Source organism: Homo sapiens, chromosome 3, assembly GCF_000001405.40.
Source record: "Homo sapiens chromosome 3, GRCh38.p14 Primary Assembly".
Classification (NCBI taxonomy): Eukaryota; Metazoa; Chordata; class Mammalia; order Primates; family Hominidae; genus Homo; species Homo sapiens.
In genome coordinates, this window is record NC_000003.12 from 186,789,898 (window position 1) to 186,809,727 (window position 19,830).

The window sequence follows — 19,830 nt, forward strand, 5'->3', positions numbered from 1 at the left end:
GGTGCTTTTGGTCATTTTATTTTTATTACAACTTCATTATTTACAAAACCCCCCATCCAGATATATTCACGTTAACAATTCTGAGATAACTGCTGCATCACAGTTGCACAAAGGCTGATGAGTTGCAAATGTTCATCAGCACCATCTGCTAGGCATTTGTCAACTTCCTACGAGAAAAATTTAAGAAATTAGCATCCTTCAGGTAGTTAAATGTTCCATTGACATGTGCAAAGTACCTACTTACGGCAAGTTTTTCTGTGATAATAGACTTCTGTTTATCAGATAAGTTATTTTCTACAACCACATCATGGAGTTGATTGACGAGCTGAGTTGCTGCATGACCCTCATCTATTAAATCCTATAATAAAAAAAACTTTTGGTATGATGACTTAATATTCCTTTCCCCAAAGTTAGTAAGCTGACTTTACCTTGACCACAGCTTCTAGTTTGTCAAAAGAGCCACTCTGACAGGCAGCAAATACTCCATCAATTTTCTCAGCTGGTATTACCTAGGTAATTGAATGTTCGGTATTAAAGATGTTTCTAGGTGAGACTAGACATACACTCTGCCAACTGGCCCCCGTGCCCCCAGTCATTTCTGTTCCACACCTAAGTTCCATACTTTCCTGGGAAGGCTTTGGGAGAACGGAAAGGGCCAGAGTAACTCCAGTCACCACTAAGCAACCAAGGTGCTAACAACTGTGCTTTTAAAGCCCTTTAATGGCTTTGTGAACTTCCAAGTTTGGGCACACATGGATTATAGCTTGTTCTGGTCAGTGGATGAAGATTAAGTTTTCCCCTAGCGGCTATAACGATTCCTCAGAACAGTGGCCAAGATCAATCAAAAAGACTGATTTCTTTAAAGGGGAAGTGCCCTTTCTCTCAATGTCTCCATGTAAAGATGCCACTAATGAGATTGGTTTAAAAAGTCCACAATATCCAGAAAATTAAAGAGGATTAGTGGTACCAGTCTTGTCATATGGAAGGCCTACCGTGAAGGTGAAAAACGTCATAGAAACAAAGAGGATTAGTGGTACCAGTCTTGTCATATGGAAGGCCTACCGTGCAGGTGAAAAATGTCACAGAAACAAAAGTTGTTAAGTAGTAGTGATTCTGAAGTGAGTTTTTACATGGGAGTATCCAAAGACAAGTGGGGTACTCCATTCTCTTTAATAAATGATTACTGTAAGTTGGATATGCCTTTTGTTTATATACAACTGGCAAAATAGTTTTCATGTATAAGAACATCTGCTAAAATTGATTTAACTGCCAAAGGCATCTCTTATAAAATCTAAAAACTGAAGGCTGGGTGCGGTGGCTCCCACCTATAATCCCAGCACTTTGGAAGGCTAAGCGGGGGGCGGATCACCTGAGGTCAGGAGTTCCATACCAGCCTGGTCAACCAACATCGTGAAACCCCGTCTCTACTAAAAATATACAAATTAGCTGGGCATGGTGGCAGGTGCCTGTAATCCCAGCTAATTGGGAGGGTGAGGCGGGAGGTGGAGGTTGCAGTGAGTCGGTATTGCGTCACTGCACTCCAGCCTGGGCGACACAGCAAGACTCTGTCTCAAAAAAAAAAAAACAAAAAAACTAACAACTGAAAGTGTCCTTTTCTTTCCTGAAATGTCTGTTACATGCCTGACAAACTGAAAAGTCAGTGCTATCTCCTCACCTCAAACACTCTGATACTCCCAGGTTATTCCCTTATACTTCCTAGTGCAGTACTTGGCACTTGCTAAACACCCAGTATTTGTTGGATGAAAATTTCCTAAAAGCCACAAAAAAGCCAACTAAAAAGAAATTCAGAATATCCAGTACTCTTACCCCGGCAATGTCTGTAATCACTTTCTCTGTGATCTCCTTTCCACCTGTTAATCGAGTAGCGCTTTGAAGAAATGTAATGGCTTTTCTTAAGTCTCCTTCTGACACTTTAACAAGATAAGCTATTCCCTGAAGAGAAAAGAGTTGTTTTTAACCTATGATGGCCAATTAAGGATTTATAACTTTAATTTTAAAATGTTTAATAAAAGTGAAAAACCCTGTTTTAGTCTAGAGTTAATGAGAAAAAACATTTCTGTTTTGGGAGAAAATATGATCAGTCTAGGGGCCGGGTACAATGGAAGGATAGAGATCTCTTGCTTCTGAAATAAATTTGCAGAGATGAAAAAATGTTCCATATTTATCCCATTTTCTTGCTCACGTAAAGCAAATTCAAATTATGGTTAAATTCTGTTATAATGAATAAGGGCCTTATGTTTCTATCAATTTTAGGGAAGTACTGAAGTATTAGCTAGAAGACTAAAATCTTGTCATCATGCAGAGATTTATGTTGCAGAATTTGCATTATATGTATGAAATCCACCTCAGTTTCGGGTCTCTGATATATTAAAAGATAATTAACTCAAAAAGTAATAGAAAAGCTAAACCTTGTAATTCCTACACATTTCAATTGTTGCCCCTTTAGCTTAAGTTTGTCTGAAGAACTGGCATCAGGATTGAGGCAACACACATTTAAATCTTTCAGGGCCTCTTTATATGCATTCATCAAAGGAATTAGTAACTCTAATAATTGTAATAATTAGTAATTACCTCATCACTAATTTTGACATTTTCCTTCTTGGCAATGTCTAGTAATCGCTGCTGTTGAATTTTATCTGACAGAGGCTTGAAGCGGAATTTTGAACATCTAGAGGTCAGGGGTTCAATTATTCTGTGGAAGATGAGAAAAACCAAGTTGGTGTCTAAAGAAAGAATTTCCCCAAAAGAACTCATTTTTATCAAGAACAAATCAAGATTTGATGGAGGAAAAATTAATGTAGCCTTGAAAATCCTAAATTTCCTTTCCCTAATTGGGTTATGAAAATAAGGCTGCCTAGCATCTGTCTTCAGGGCAATATACATACCGACTGACATAGTTACAGATAAGACAGAATCGGGTGGTTTTCGACTCCTTCTCCATGGTACGTCTTAAAGCTGCCTGAGCAGCTGAGGTCATAGAATCTGCTTCATCCAGAATCACAATCTTAAAAGGCGGACACGGCTTCCCACTGATTCAGAGAAACACATAAGAGTTGAACATTAATATGTATATTGGTTTTAACAGCTTTGTTGAAAGATACACGTACCATACAATTCACCCATTTAAAATGTACAATTCAGTGTTTTTCTGTATGTTCACAAAGTTGTGCAACCATTACCACAATCTAATTTTAGAACATTTTTATCACTCCTAAAAGAAACTTTGTACCTATTAGGAGTCACTCTTCTTCCCCCAGTCATTCCCAGCTCTAGGCAATCATTAGTCTACTTTCATCTCTATAGATTTGCCTATTCTGGACATGATATGAATGGAACATATAATATGCAGTCTTTTGTGGCTGACTTCTTCCACTTAACATATTTTAAAGGTTCATCCATATTGTAGCATGTGTTTGCGTCATTCCTTTGTATTGTCAAATACTATGGCAAATAGATACACCACATTTATTCATCCATTAATCGGTTGGACATTTGGGCTGTTTCCATGTTTTGGCTATTAAGAATAATGCTGCTGTGAACATTTGTGTACATGTTTTTGAGCAGACATGTCTTCCAAGAGGCTGTACCATTTTACATTCCAACCAGCAATGTATGCGGTTTACCATTTCTCCACATCCTTGTCAATGCTAGTTATTTTCTGTATTTTTTATCATAGCCATCCTAGTGGGAGTTACGTGGTATTTCAATGTGGCTTTGATTTTCATTTCCCAAATGGATAATGATGTTGATGAGCATCTTTTAATGTGCTTATTACACATGCACGAAATGTCTATGCAGATCCTTTGCCTTTTTTTTTTTTTTGAGATAGAGTCTTGCTCTGTCGCCCAGGCTGGAGTGCAGTGGTGCGATCTTGGCTCACTGCAAGCTCTGCCTCCTGGGTTCACGCCATACTCCTGCCTCAGCCTCCCGAGTAGCTGGGACTACAGGCGCCCGCCACCACACCCAGCTAATTTTTTGTATTTTTAGTAGAGATGGGGTTTCACCATGTTCGCCAGGATGGTCTCGATCTCCTGACCTTGTGATCCACCTGCCTCGGCCTCCCAAAGTGCTGGGATTACAGGTGTGAACCACTGCGCCCGGCCTTTGCCCATTTTTTAATTGGGTTATTTGTTTTTATTACTGAGTTTTTAAAGTTCTTCATATGTTCTAGATATAAGTACCTTTTTAGGTATATGATTTGTAAATATTTTCTCCCACGTTGCGGGTTATTACCTTCTGTACATTGATTTTTGGTAATCTGCCATTAAAGTTTTTCTCCCACCAAAAGTGGCATTAACATAATTGTATGAAAATTATACCAAGAAAACAGATTTCAAGTATTAATGGTAGAAGGGATCTCAGAGTCTTTTAGTCCACCTCCCAGTCTTCATTTCACATAAAAATACATTAGGTGCTATAGCGGTTGTGACTGACTGCACCATCAATTTAAGGTGCATATCAAAAATTAGTCATTCACTTTCACAAATTTTGAAATGTGCTCATGTAAAATTTACACATATGTCTAGGTACCACCAATGTAATCCTGGACCTTTGCCACCTAAGGAGCATAAGTAGTTGATTAAATCCCTGTTTACCTCAGGCAGGATAGTCTTCTAACATGAAAAGTTGACAATTTGGCAGAAATACACTTGATCTTAGCCAAAAGGCTGAGGAGCGATGGCAGAAATACATATTTAAAATAATACATGCTATGGAGGAGGGAGGGCAAATTTACTTACTCTGAGCGACTTCCTGACACAGTTAATTGAGCAAAATTTTTCACTTTCTCTCGAACTACTTGTATTCCACGTTCATCAGATGCATTTAACTCAAGAACTCTTAATCGGAAAAGTTCAGGCCTATCTCAAAATGAAACAAATATGAAACATAGAGCACAAGTAGGCTTAAATCACATTTTAACATTTGCACACTTTGCAGACGTTTAAAATCCACCTAGTAAACAACATGGATAGAAGGCACACAATCACTTTTGCATTCTCGCTTCAGCAGAGTGCTGCAGTTAACATTTTGGCTTTTTTCCATGCATTTAAAAAAATGTAGACATTACATAACATATACAATTTCTTTTCTTTTTATTTTTTTGGAGACAAGGTCTTGCTCTGTCACTCAGGCTGGAGAACAGTGGCATGATGATGGCTCACTGCAGCCTTGAACTCCTGGGCTCAAATGATCCTCCCACCTTAGCTTCCCAACTAGCTGGGACTATAGGCACATGCCATCACACCTGGCTAATTTTGTTTACTTTTTGTAGAGGCAGGGACTCATTATGTGGCCAGGCTGGTCTCAGGTGATCCTTCCACCTTGGCCTCCCAAAATGTTGGGATTACAGGTGTGAGGCACCACACCTGGCCCCACATATAAAATTTTAAATCGATTTTCCACTTTGCATTTATAATAAGTATCTTGGCATATTATCAAAACCACTGTAAATAACATTTTAATAGTCATATGATATTCCATCCTATGACTGTACCATCATTTACTTCACATTCTTCTATTGTTAGACATCTAGATAGTTTTAAATACTGTAATTTTAAATAATGTTATAATATAGCACATTTTAAATTATTTCCGGCCGGATGTGGTGGCTCATGCCTGTAATCCCAGCACTTTGGGAGGCCGAGGCGGGTGGATCACGAGGTCAGGAGTTCGAGACCAGCCTGACCAACGTGGTGAAACCCTGTCTCTACTAAAAATACAAAAATTAGCTGGGCGTGGTTACAGGCACCTGTAGTGCCAGCTACTCAGGAGGCTGAGGCAGGAGGATTGCTTGAACCCGGGATGTGGAGGTTGCAGTGAGCCGAGATCGCACCACTGCACTCCAGCCTGGGCAATAGAGCGAGACACTGTCTCAAAAATAAATAAATAAACAAATAAATAAATAAATTCCACAGGGTAGTTTGCTATAAGGAAACCTACTGGATTAAGGAAAATTAATGGATTAAAACATGAGCAGGTTTTTAAAGTGAGTTTTAATAAAAATTACTAAAAGTAATATATGCTTACTGTAGAGAAATTTGAGAAATCAAAAGAAAAAAGTGGGCACACTGTCAAAGCACTGTTTTTGAAACTTCCCTCTAGTCTTTTACACACACACACACACACACACACACACATTTAAATAAAAAACAAGAGTTGTGATTTAGTTTCATCTCTATTTTTCCTAATCAGCATGGTATCCTAAGCATGTTTATGGACATAAACATTTACATGCATCTATTTTCTATTTTAAAGCCACAATATTAAATATGAAATTCACTGTTAAAGTAAGTTCTTTAAAGACAAACATTATTTCATAAAGGATATAGAAAAAGTTGTATAATCTGGACTGACCTACTCTAAGTAATAATAAACAACTGTTAAGGCTGATTCAGATTGGTTCTATCTGATTGAGTTGTGGAATAATCAAAAAAGTTCTTCTATAATTTTACTGAGAATAAAAAATTGCTGTCAAATAAAATATTAGGCACATAGCAGCTTCTCCCTTTGTCTTTTACATTTTGACATAACTAATAATCCTTACACATTTGGTGATTTCAGTGGCGTCTTTTTTTTTTTGAGACGGAGTCTCGCTCTGTCACCCAGGCTGGAGTGCAGTGGCGTGATCTCGGCTCACTGCAACCTCTGCCTCCCAGGTTCAAGTGATTCTCCTGCCTCAGCCTGCCGAGTAGCTGGGACTACAGGTGCATGCCACCATGCCTGGCAAATTTTTGTATTTTTAGTAGAGATGGGGTTTCACCATGTTGGCCAGGCTGGTTTCGAACTCCTCACCCCAGGTGATCCACCTGCCTCGGCCTCCCAAAGTGCTGGGATTACAGATGTGAGCCACCACACCCAGCCTATTTTCATATGTAGGATTTCAGATATTTCTATCAGTTGTATGTCTGATATTAATTCTGGATAAACTCAAAACAGCCTTTGTTATGTTGGTGCATGTTTCATGTATATCAGACCCAGCCCACTACACATCTTTTAACTCTAGGTAAAGGGCTCCTCTAGAATGGCTGGTTAAGCCAAGATGGTCAATCTAGGAAGAGGAACATAAGAAGGTGACTCACAGGAAGATTTTCTGGTGTACCTGGAATCACACTACATCAACCATCACTTGTGCTCAGGAGACCTGAGGCAAGGAGCTGGACTGGCCACTCCAGAGTCAGAGCCTAGGAAGTCCAGAGCAGGACTCAAGAATGGATGGTGCAAATAGTGCCATCAGAAACAGCAGATTCTATCATGTAGCCACACAGATGTGAACACAATCATTAAGAGGGTGATAAAACTATCAGCACAACTGGACATTAAGTTGGGCCCTCTGGACTCCAAAGTTATAATGGAAAATTTAAAGAAAGTGATGGAAAAAATCATAGGCTCCCCACACTTGAACAAGATTCACAATGAAGGTCACAAAAGACGCAGGCAAGCTGATTTCTTCAGGGGAGTGAGGGAGGAACAAAATGGCTCATGGGATTTTTAAAAATCAGAAATAGAAAACTATCCTACAGAAAACGAAACGCAAATTTTTAGAGGAAAAAAAGCAATATCAGAGAATTTTGGTGTCAAATCTTTAAAAAAAGAAAAACAGACTGATTTCAACGTACCCAAAGAGTTCTCTAGCTGCTGCCAAAATAGTGGATGTTTTTCCAGTTCCAGGTGGTCCGTAAAACAAGAGATTAGGAAGCTGTAGAAATTAAATTTTATTTTTAATAAATGGTATTCTGGCACAAATAGATGAAAAGGAAGATCGAAAAAAATGTCTGTGGAATAGTGCAATGACTTCTCTAATAGGGCACGTAATTTCTAAGTATAAAGTTTTCTTAATATAACTGATATCATAGTACTGACAGATTTAAATCCTGCTTTTTCATATACTACCACTTTTTTCCCCAAGTGTCTTTTTAATCTCTTAAGCTGAACCAATATTTATGCTTGCTCTATAGCTAATCCACTTAGGTGAAATTTTCAAAGCTGGAATGAGAAACCTTTTATTTCTAAAGGGAATCTCAGTTTCCTATCCCACCTCTATGCTCAAGATTAGGTAAGATTTTATATTACACAAAATGTCAGCTGCTTCAAAGGGGAAGCAGACCAAAAGAGTAATGGGATTTGGCCAAAACTGAGGAAAAAGGACTAAAAAAGACATAATTAGGGCTTTGGATGAGCAGAAGTACCAAGAACAGAAATATTAACAAAAAATCCAAAACTAGATATATATTAAGTACTAGGCACTGCTCCACATCATGATTATGCACTCTGTAAGGATGCTTGCATGTATCAGGGAGAATTCATTAGAAGAGGAAAGGATAAAATTAAATCACTAGCTACCTTCTTTTATACCTTGTATCTAGCTAGTTTGGCTCCTATCAAGCAGTCGACTGATCCGTGGTGAAAATTAATAAGTCAACTAAATTCTAATGAGCTCTGTTATGATACTGTGCAATCTTCAGTATGTCCTGTCACATAAGGAAATCAGTGTACACAGGAAACTAGGCATTAGAGTTTGTTTCCACTCTTGCCTAACCCTCCCTCTTCCTGTCCATTCATTCTTCACCTAAATCAGATACCACTCTGCTTGCTACTTAAAACTATTCCACTTAGAAAAACAAAAACAAACCAAAAAACCCTCAGCTTTTTACCATGGCCTAAAGGACTTCCATGATCTGCCTACCACCTCCTTCACCTTCCAGGCTCTAGCTTACAATGGCTTCTAACAGCTTGGCACTTTCTGGCCCGAACATATGTTGCTCCCATGACCTGGAGTCTGATCCTCTTCTTTCTGCCTGGCCAACTCCTAATGCATTACAAATCAGAAACCATTCAGTCTAAAGTAGGTCTCCTCTCCTATTCTCTCATTAGTGTTTGTTGCATTTTGCATTGGTTTATTGTTATTTCACTGTGGGGCTTAATTGTAAAATGCCTGTCTACTTCATTAAAAGACCAAGAACCTTATTTGTTCTATTCACATCTGTATTCTAGCATCTACTACAGTAGTCAATGTTGGCCAAATGAATGAATAAACCAATACATAGACAAATATGTTAATTAGAAGACTATTACTGTTACATTCATAACATATAGCTTACAGAACAAACTATGAGATTCATAACTTAAAAACCTCCCAGGCTTCTTAGTAATTAAGGTCTACAACTATTATTTTGATCTGTGCATCCCTTAACAATGTAACGATTCATCCAGGTTAACTATCAGATACAATAATTTAAATTCTTTGAAACAGGGTAAAATTATTAAACCTTAATTATACACTAGTCTAATATATGTAGTACATTCAAGAACTGTATGTGGAATACCAGTTCTTAAAATCAATTTCTGAAAAAATTATCTTCTTATAATTCTTTAAAACCTTTCAAAATAAATTGAATGAATTGTTTTCCTTTACTCTTTTGAATTAAAAAAACTATTTCACCTCTTTACAAAACTTAGTCTGAAAAGGTGCACAAAATATTAAACTGAAGTTCTTACTTCAGCCTCATAAATTACGTGGCATAAAGTCAAGAACTAGATCTTAGGCTGGGCATGATGGCTCATGCCTGTAATCCCAGCATTTTAGGTGGCCAAAGCGGGCAGGTCACTTGACATGGCTAAACACCATCTCTACTAAAAATACAAAAATGAGCTGTGTGTGGTGGTGCATGCCTGTAGTCCCAGCTACTTGGGAGGCTGAGGTGGGAGGATCACTTGAGCCTGGGAGGCGGAGGTTGCAGTGAGCTGGTATCACGCCACTGCACTCCAGCCTGCGTGACAGAGCAAGACTCTGTCTCAATTACAAAAAAAAACAAAAAAACAAAAGAACTGGATCTTAATCTCACTACATTTGCTGAAGATACTAGTAATTAAATTAGATATTGTCCTGCAATCTGTGTAATTACTATGCAACTGCAATTAAAATGGTATATACTGTTACCAAGATATGCAAGCAGAATATACCAAAAAATAAAATGCTATACTATTATAAAATTAAAAGGTATAAGAGTATTTGTGTTATTTATTTTTTATTACTTATTTATTTATTTATTTTTGAGACCAGAGTCTCACTCTGTCACCCAGGCTGGAGTACAGTGGCACAATCTTGGCTCACTGCAACCCCTCCGCCTCCCAGGTTCAAATGATTCTCCCGCTTTAGCCTCCTGAGTAGCTGGGACTACAGGTGTGTGCCACCACGCCTGGCTACTTTTTCTAATTTTTGGTAGAGATGGGGTTTCACCATGTTGGCCAGGCTGGTCTTGAACTCCTGACCTCAAGTGATCTTCCCATCTCAGCCTCCCGAAACGCTAGGATTACAGGCGTGAGCCACTGTGGCCGGCCAAAAAGGTATAAGAGTATGCGAGTCAAATCAAAACACATACTGGTAAAGAAAAAGATTCTAAATAGTTTTATAAATTTAACTTCTTTCAAAATGTGTACTGTAGTAATATAATTTCAGCAAGGGAATGATGGCAGCAAAACCCAAAAGAACTTCTAATTAAAAGCAGCCAGATTGAGAGGAAGGAAGCAAATCTTGAAACTAAAGCAAAAACCACATCCCACTTCAGCACTTTACTGAGCTGTTAAAGCACTTTGGGCATTCATCATAACACAACTTTAAGTTGCTAATTTTTCACATGGGTTTATCTTATCTCAGAATAATTTACAATGCAAGTTATCCATGGATACTTTATCCCCCAGATCACAGCAGAAGAGAGAGCTATAAGCAGAATTCAAAGCTCGATTTTTTTTTTGTATTATAGGTCAATCCAAATCCTAAAGTTAGTAAGCAATTATACTTTAGAGGAATCTCTGGCTCTTCTTTATAGCACATATTACTACCTATAATTATTTATTGGTTTACTTGTTTATTCTATCTTTCCTTACCAATAAAAACCCATGAAAAAAGGGGCATAGTTTGTCTTGTTCTATGTTTTATGTCTTGTTCTATGTCTATGTTTCATAGTTTGTCTTAATTACTATGACTTTTACTTGAATACTAGGTAACACTGCTATGTAAGATTAAATAGGAGATGCTCAATAAATATTTGAACTAATTATCATTGTACAAATAGTTATCAAGGACCTACTGTACACAGAGCAAGATATTTAACGAGGGCTAGAAGTTATAAAGGAAGAAAGAGGGTGAATAAATTAAGTCTTAAATATCCCAATGACATTAAACACCATTTGCAACTCACATCTGCTCCTTCTAAAGATTTTTTCAGCACTGCAACCACTTCTTCCTGGAAAGCAACTTCATCCACACATTTTGGGCGACTTGCGGGGTGAGAAGGAGGAAAGAGGTTATTTAGTATATTATAGTAGCCACAGAAAACTCTCAAGTGTTCCTTCTACTAAAATACCAATGACCATTCTTAAACATCAGCAATGAAATGAGAAACTTTTTCATAATCGGAAATAGGTGGAAACCCCACTTGTTTTTACCGTAACCAAACACATTCTGAAAGAGTGAAATAATGTTTTACTTCCTTTCTGCATTGCTCGAATCTGTTATACCCACAAAAATTAAAGAAAAAGGATTTTATTTTATATGCTACAAACACTAATTAGAAATTAAAGTGGGGGATTAAGACCATCCTGGCTAACACAGTGAAACCCCGTCTCTACTAAAAACACAAAAAATTAGCCAGGCGTGGTGGTGAGCGCCTGTAGTCCCAGCTACTTGGGAGGCTGAGGCAGGAGAACGGCACGAACCTGGGAGGCAGAGCTTGCAGTGAGCTGAGATCGCACCACTGCACTCCAGCCTGGGTGACAGAGGGAGACTCTGTCTCAAAAAAAAAAAAAAAAAAAAAGAAATTAAAGTGGGGCTGGGTGCGATGGCTCACACTAATCCCAACACTTAGGGAGGCTGAAGCAGGTGGATCACCTGAGGTCAGGAGTTCAAGACCAGCCTGACCAACACGGAGAAACACTGTCTCTACTAAAAATATAAAATTAGCCGGGCATGGTGGTGCATGCCTGTAATGCCAGCTACTCGGGAGGCTGAGGAAGGAGAAGCGCTTGAACCCTGGAGGCAGAGGTTGTGGTGAGCCGAGATCGTATCATTGCACTCCAACCTGGGTCACAAGAGCGAAACTTTATCTCAAAAAAAAAAAAAAAAAAAAAATTAAAGTGAACACCTGCTTAGAAAGCATTATTATTGGCCGGATGCGGTGGCTCACGCCTGTAATCCCAGCACTTTGGGAGGCAGATCACCTGAGATCAGGAGTTTGAGACCAGCCTGGTCAACATGGTGAAACCCCGTCTGTATTAAAAATACAAAAAAAATTAGGTGGGCGTGGTGGCACATGCCTGTAGTCCCATTTGAACCCAGGAGGCAGAAGTTGCAGTGAGCCAAGATCGCACCACTGCACTTCAGCCTGGGCGACAGAGCAAGACTCTGTCTCAAAAGAAAAAAAAAAAGCATTGTTCCACTTTGACAAAATAAGATCATGAATCTTAAGATGAAAAGGGAAAACCATTTAGTAACCTTAGTATAGGTAACTATTTTGGTTAATGTAGTTACATATATACTTAGTATGTGTTAACTGGTTAATGCCAATTTTTTCCATCATCTAACTGCATAAAAAAATGAAGACCTATTCAATTCATTGAGGGCTAACAAAAACAACAAGCTGAACCAATATGAAGTATCATATATAATTTTCATCTTACAACAGTGATTTTTAAGAGAAGCTAGAACAAAGTTACACTTCCAACTCTAAGCTTAGGCTTTGTGCTTAGTTAACTAATCAAAAGTTCTTTGATCCATACTTTTCGATAAATCAGGTTAACACTAGGTAGGAATTATGATTTTTTTTTTTAATGTCTTCTCTTGGGAATCCAGTATATGTTATAAAGCAGGGACTCATATTCAAATACCTGCAGAGATTAAGCAGATAACAAGAGTGAGGAAGGCAGAGTGTGATGCAAGATATAGTAGGGACCATGGCAAATTGAGGAACACACGACCTTTCCAAAAGGAGAAGCAGTACACAAGTCCATATAACTCCTGTCATGTGAGAACCTGCCCCCAGTGTTGCCTGATCTCCTGAGAAGCTGAAAATCCAGACCCTCCTCCACATAATTAAAAAAATCTAGATTTTCATGAGGTTTATTGGTGCCAAACAAAACATATAAGGGGCTGGGCGCAGTGACTCACGCCTGTAATCCCAGCACTTTGGGAGGCCAAGGCAGGCAGATCACCTGAGATCAGGAGTTGAAGACCAGCCTGGTCAACACGATGAAACCTTGTCTCTATTAAAAATACAAAAATTAGCTGAGTGTGGTGGGGCATGTCTGTAATCCCAGCTACTCGGGAGGCTGAGGCAGGAGAATCACTTGAACCTGGGAGGCAGAGGTTGCAGTGAGCTGACATTGCGCCACTGCACTCCAGCCTGGGTGACAAAGTGAGAATCTGTCCCAAAAAAACAAACAAACAAAAAGGCAAGCAAAAAACAAAAACACAAAAAACATATGAGGGCCTTACTCGGCCTATAAGTAATCTGTAAACATTGGTAATTACCGAGGCTACATTCAACCAATAGTTACAATTACTTGTGGTAATATCACTTAGATGACTGACAATTTTATTTATTTATTTGAGACAGAGTCTCGTTCTGTCACCCAGGCTGGAATGCAGTGGTGTGATCTCAGCTCACTGCAATTTCTGCCTCCCAGGTTCAAGTGATTCTCGTGCCTCAGCCTCCCAAGTAGCTGGGATTACAGGTGCCCGCCAACATGCCTGGCTAATTTTTTTTTTTTTTTTTTCCCAGTAAAGAGGGGGTTTCGACATGTTGGCCAGGCTGGTCTGGAACTCCTGGCCTCAAGTGATCCTCCCACCTTGGCCTCCCAAATTGCTGGGATTACATACAGGATTATAGGCATGAGCCACCATGCCAGGTGGTGACTGACAATTTAAATGCTAATTCAAGTGTTGTTTGGACAAAAATGTATGAGCTAACCAAAACTGAATTTCCAGGGCTGGGCGCGGTGGCTCATGCATGTAATCCCAGCACTTTGGGAAGCCAAGGCAGGTGGATCACTTGAGGTCAGGAGTTTGCGATCGACCTGACCAACATGGTGAAACCCCGTCTCTACTAAAAATACAAAAAATTAGCCAGGTGTGGTGGTGGGCACCTGTAATCCCTACTATTTGGGAGGCTGAGGCAGGATAATCACCTGAACCCAGGAGGTGGAGGTTGCAGTGAGTCGAGACCATGCCACTGCACGCCAGCCTGGGCAACAGAGTGAGACTCCGTCTCAAAAATAGTAATAATAATAATAATACTTTCCACCTATTGTAATGAGAAGAAGGAGGAACAGATTACATATTTGGATTTAAGTAGAACTCCTGACCTAGTATTTATAGCCAGTTTACAGAAACTTTTGTTTTCTTCACTTCTGTATCCCAGCCCCTAAAATGGAAGCCTCTGCTTGTAGAGATCTCAGTTTATCTACAAAATAAGGGAGTTAAACTAGATTATTCTCAGGTAACTTTAGTTCCAGGGTTCTATGACTTATATAAGTGGGTGATTTTTTTTCAAAGACAACTTCTAAACAGAACAAAGCATTCCTCCATAAGTTAAAAAAAAAAAAAAGTGATCAGTACTGGTTAGAGAGATAATTTATGAATTATTTTAACAAAGACACAAGTGTTCTTACTATTTTTCCACCCAGGGAACGGGTTTGGCTTTCTTGTTCTCTCCGCTACTTCCCGCACTGGCAGCTACTCCTCGATCCTTGGTCAGCGGGGGTTTAGTACTGATGGATGTACCTTTAAGAAATGCTTGCATGGTACTTCACCCTGGTCAGGTGCAAGACAGAAAAAAAAAGCTTTTATTGAAACTTTTATTGCGAATCAGCACCATAGGAAAGCGGGGGTGGTGGTGGGGAACCATTATGAGAAAGTACAGCCCGAAAATAAACTTAGCCTTGTGCAAAGATGTTACATAATAAAGGACATCACCCCATGACCTAGGACACTCTGAATGCACTGTACTGAGGGCTACAAGAACAGAAAAGTGGTCAAAGTCCCTAACGAACTTAGAATCTATTTCTAGTGCAGGAGTTATAGAACAAAGATCATATGTCACAAAAATGTTTAATGAGTTCCAAATGCATTGATAAATATGATGTTGCTAATGACCAAACCACATGGGCCTCCATGGTTTCTTTCACAGTCATGGGCCTAGCTCTAGCTCAGACCCTGAAATGGACTCTTCGGCAATTAAAGGTGCTCTGCTTGCACCACAAATGAGAACCTTCACTCCTTTCCTTGGGTCAGAACTCAAAGACCTTTTTTTGTTGTTGTTGTTTTTGAGACAGGGTCTCACTCTTTTGCCTAGGATGGAGTGCAGTGGCGGAATCATGGTTCACTGCAGCCTTGACATCCCAGGCTCCTGTCATCTTCCCACTTCAGCCTCCCCAGTAGCTAGGACTACAGGTGCGTGCCACCACCCCCGGCTAATTTTTTAAATTTTTGGTAGAGACAGGGTTTCACCATGTTGCCTAGGCTGGTCTGGAACTCCTGGGCTCAAGTAATCCTCCTGCCCCGGCCTCCCAAAGTGCTGGGATTACAGGTGTGAGCCATCTCGCCTGGCCAGGGACCTATTTTCATGGCAGAGTCAATGCTTACCTACCTTCAGAGACTTTCTGTGGGGAAGGGAAGGTGGGGGACTCTGTTGTTAAAATAGAAACAGCTGTTTTTCTCATAACACACTCACTTGAAGAAATCAAAACAATGCATAAAAGCATGAGAGATTTAAAAAAGTAATACAAAATCCCACCCAGAAGGTAACTATTTCTAACATGCAGGTAAACATTCTTCCAGGCTGTTTTCAGGGATAAAAAGCATCATTAGCTCGCCTGAAAAGTCCCCGGTTAATTCTATTTTTTTCACTGCTACATGCCCTGGTGCCTAGAACAGTGCCTGGTACATGGTAGATGCTCCGTAATATTTGGTGAATGAATTACCATCTATGATACCCGGTTTCCTTTTCTGTTAAAGGAGCTAAGGCCTATTCCACAGGACAACTGAGTTAAATAAAAGAATGTATGCAAATACATAGTTCCTTGCTTGGCATATGGGGATATGCTCAATAAAATAAATTTTTAATATCTGTTAGCAGCCAAGGTTTTTATAACGTTACTGGATTAGTCCATCCCTGCCTCGGGCTGTTAAACATTAATACAGCCCAAAGCCGGGGCCTGCAAGATGCTGTCCGGAACCACCATTTCACCAAAGGGCGCGGCCAGGGCATGAAAGGGCCACTAGGCTGGGGCCCCGAAGGAGGTGGAAGACCTCACAAGGGGCATCAAGGGCAGGAGTGGGGAAGGCGAAGCGGGCTTGCAGTTCCTCCAGCAGGTTACCAGTTAGCCTGGCTTCTCGTGCAGGTCACCGCCGCCGGCTCGTTCCTCAGGTTTCCGCGATACAAAAAGGACGAGATGGTCTCGAAGTCTTAGCTCCGTCACCTAATCTGAGAATAACGGGCCCAGGAGACTTACGATCACTGATGTCCCCACAGTCGCCTCAGTTCCCGCCACGGAACGGCGGGCGAAAAGCAGGGCGGGAATACGCCGGTAGGAATACGCGGGCACGTAACGCGTCACTTCCGGTGCTGGGGCGCGCTGCTTGCGGAGGGAGTTTGCCCGTATACGGTTTTATTTAGGCAGGTGATGAGCCAGCCGGACTTTCAGGCAGAACTGGACTGGAACAGGCATGGCCTAGGAGGTGTCCCTGTCCCGGTGCATTGCTCCCACTTCAGACGTGAGCGCGACCCTCCCGGAAGGAGTAGAGGTCGCGCGGGCACGGCGCTGGGGCTGCTTACCTGGCAGGCTCAGCAATGAGGGCGGGGCGGCGGCGCGCGGGCCTCTGGAACCCTGCCGGTCCACCGAAGGTCCCGAGCCCGCTATCTTCGTAGGTGCGGGCCTCCGGAGGTGCAGGTCCCTGTCCTCCTTGTCCTGCTTCGTCGCAGAGCAGAACGCGTGTGCTTTAAGGGCAGAGACATCTGAAGATGCTTTGCCTTGCCCTCTTGAGGACACGTGGCTTTTACTTCTAATAGTGTCTGCGTGTTGTGGAGAGAGAAGACCATGCAGCTGTGGACATCTATTATAATTCCTGAGCCCCACTTAGAAATCTGGAAGTGAAGGCGTTCAATAAAAGTTAAAGGACTGATAATCATGTTTAGCCCCACCAAGCTTCATGCACAGTGGGCTAGGCTGGTGCCTGAGCCCACTGCTTTTATCTCTTCCAAGTACTTGGTTTAGCTCTGAAATGCTCCTTAATCCTATTGAAACCTGACCCTTCTCAAAGGCCACCTTCTCTACTGGTCTTTACTAATTACTAACCCATAAGGTTGTTCCGGGTCTTCTTCAAATGACTGTTTTGTTTGGCACAAACTCAGCATGATATCCATTGTTAACTTTGTACGTTTTTTTCATTTATCTTGCAACAAATGCTTACAGAATGTCCACGCACTGTGTTAGATGCCTGCAGATACAGCAGGGAAAACGCTCGAGATGCCCTCAAGTAGCTTTACAGACTAGGAGAGTGACAGACAATGTGATGTGTGGTTATGCAGAGGAAGTAGGGGGCTGTGAGAACTTACATCCCAGGCCTAACCCAATCAAGGGTTTAACCAAAGTAAGGATGCTTTATGCTACTTTGTAATTTCCACAGAGTCTGATACAATCTCTGGACAGTATAAAAAACACACAGGTTATCTATCTGGTCACCGGTTTACATTACCATAACTTATCAAACTGTATACTTAATGCTTGTATATTTTATTGTATGTAAATTATACCACAATACAGTTGATAAAACAAGATCTATGAAAATAGATGGTATCCATTTGCTACCTGAAGGAACAGCACAACCACAGAGAGGGGGATGTTATGATCTCATTTAACAGACAAGTTGGGCTGGGCACGGTGGCTCATGCCTGTAATCACAGCACTTTGGGAGGCCGAGGTGGGCGGATCACCTGAGGTCGGGAGTTCAAGACCAGCCTGGCCAACATGGTTAAACTCCATCTCTACAAAAATACAAAAATTAGCCAGGTATGATGGCAGGTGCCTGTAATCCCACCTACTTGGGAGGCTGAGGCAGGAGAATCGCTTGAACACGGTAGGTGGAGGTTGCAGTGAGCTGAGATCACGCCATTGCATTCCAGCCTGGTGACAGAGCGAGACTCCGTCTCAAAAACAAACAAACAAAAAAACAGACAAGCTGATGGATAAGTGGTCTTTGTCCATTTTGGCTGCTATGTTTATAAGCCATAGATTGGGTGGCTTATAAACATCATAAATTTATTTCTCACAGTTTTAGTGGCTGGGAAGTCCAAGATCAAGGCACCATAAGATTCAGTGGCTGGTGAGGGTTCACTCCCTCATTGACAGCTGTCTTACTGCTGTAACCTCACTTGGTGGAAAGGGCTAACTAGTTTTCTCCAGCCATCTCCTTTATGAAGGCATTTCTCCCATTCATGAGGGTTCCACTCTATTGAACCAGTCACCTCCCAAAGGCCCCACCTCCTGATACCATCACCTTGGGAGTTATAATTTCAATAACTATAATTTGGGGGTGTGGGGACAAACATTCAGACTACAACAAAGGTTAATAGCAAGTAAGTGGCAAAGCCATAATCCACATCTTGGACTGACTCCAGACTCAAAGCTTGTGATCAGTCACTGGGCAGGTTCAGGGCTGGCATAGAGGTGCCTTAATGTTAAATAGAAAAGAGAGACCTGAGTGGTATCTTGTTTTGGCAATTGATTTTAAAAAAATGCCACCTTTCTGCAGGTACATTCAGCCCTTGGTGGGATGAAAAACTTGGTGATAAGAGATTGGGCTGGATTTCTATCTCCACTTGCCCCTCAGCTGACTACTCCGTTATTGTACACAATTATAGGCAGCATCCTAATCCAGGTAGTTGAAGAACTTGTGTGCACACCAAGCATTGTCTCTCTCACCAGAACAAGAAATGTCCTTATATAAATACTTATCTTTTTTTGTGTCATACATATGTGGGTGTTCACATGATTAAACCAGTTTAACAAGTTTATAATAGCTTTTATTATTTATTGTAATGGGCATTCATTCAGTTACTACTATGATACTATTATGTGGAGATTTGTAAAGTTTTTTTGTTTTGTTTTATTTCTGTTTTTTCTTTTTTGAGACGGAGTCTCACTCTGTCACCCAGGCTGGAGTGCAATGGCTCAATCTTGGCTCACTGCAACCTCCGCTTCCCAGGTTCAAGTGATTCTCCTGCCTCAGCCTCCCAAGTAGCTGGGACTACAGGTGTGCACCACTGCACCCAGCTAATTTTTGTATTTTTTTTTTTAGAGATGGGGTTTCACCATGTTTGCCAGGCTGGTCTCGAACTCCTGACCTCGTGATTGCCCACCTCGGCATCCACCCACCTTGGCCTCCCAAAGTGCTGGGATTACAGGTGTGAGCCACCGTGCCTGGACCCTGTGAAGTTTTTTAATCTTAAAAGAGGGCTTTCAAAAGTTGAGTACAGCTTTATTTAGTGCGTTGCCCTTTGAAACAGATGATACAAAACTGTACCTGCATGATGTGTGTGTGTGTGTGTGTGTGTGTGTGTGTGTGTGTATATATATATATAGAGAGAGAGAGAGAGAGAGAAAGAGAGAGAGAGAGAGCACGAGATCTCCCTATGTTTAGTCTTGAACTCCTTGGCTCAAGGGATCCTCCCACCTCAGCCTCCCAAAGTGCTGGGAATACAGGTGTTAGCCACTGCCTCTGGCCCTGGATTATGTTTTTTTTTAAATTTTTTGAGA

The 19,830-nt window shown here is 40.9% G+C and overlaps 1 protein-coding gene across 2 annotated transcripts, besides 2 other annotated features; it reads right to left on the bottom strand.

Moving 5' to 3' along the window:
* Positions 1 to 2: 2 nt before the first annotated feature.
* RFC4 (replication factor C subunit 4) lies at positions 3 to 16,585 on the bottom strand. 2 transcript variants are annotated; one of them, NM_181573.3, is made up of 11 exons: positions 16,528 to 16,585; positions 14,686 to 14,827; positions 11,220 to 11,298; positions 7,638 to 7,717; positions 4,761 to 4,880; positions 2,907 to 3,050; positions 2,593 to 2,713; positions 1,828 to 1,953; positions 429 to 509; positions 245 to 358; positions 3 to 167 (listed from the first exon to the last, which is right to left on the bottom strand). In NM_181573.3, the coding sequence occupies exons 2-11, from the start codon at positions 14,814 to 14,816 to the stop codon at positions 72 to 74; spliced, it is 1,092 nt and encodes a 363-aa protein (NP_853551.1). In that variant the 5' UTR covers positions 14,817 to 14,827; positions 16,528 to 16,585; the 3' UTR covers positions 3 to 71. The 2 variants fall into 2 exon arrangements, with proteins under 2 accessions (NP_853551.1, NP_002907.1); NM_002916.5 differs by having other exon boundaries at positions 16,393 to 16,585.
* Positions 16,141 to 16,752: an enhancer, noted in NCBI's record as "NANOG-H3K27ac-H3K4me1 hESC enhancer chr3:186523827-186524438 (GRCh37/hg19 assembly coordinates)". NCBI's record gives its function as "activates a minimal SCP1, AML or CMV promoter by ChIP-STARR-seq in primed H9 embryonic stem cells {active_cell/tissue: H9 hESC(primed)}" and the evidence as "EXISTENCE:reporter gene assay evidence [ECO:0000049][PMID:30033119]".
* Positions 16,753 to 17,364: an enhancer, noted in NCBI's record as "NANOG-H3K27ac-H3K4me1 hESC enhancer chr3:186524439-186525050 (GRCh37/hg19 assembly coordinates)". NCBI's record gives its function as "activates a minimal SCP1, AML or CMV promoter by ChIP-STARR-seq in primed H9 embryonic stem cells {active_cell/tissue: H9 hESC(primed)}" and the evidence as "EXISTENCE:reporter gene assay evidence [ECO:0000049][PMID:30033119]".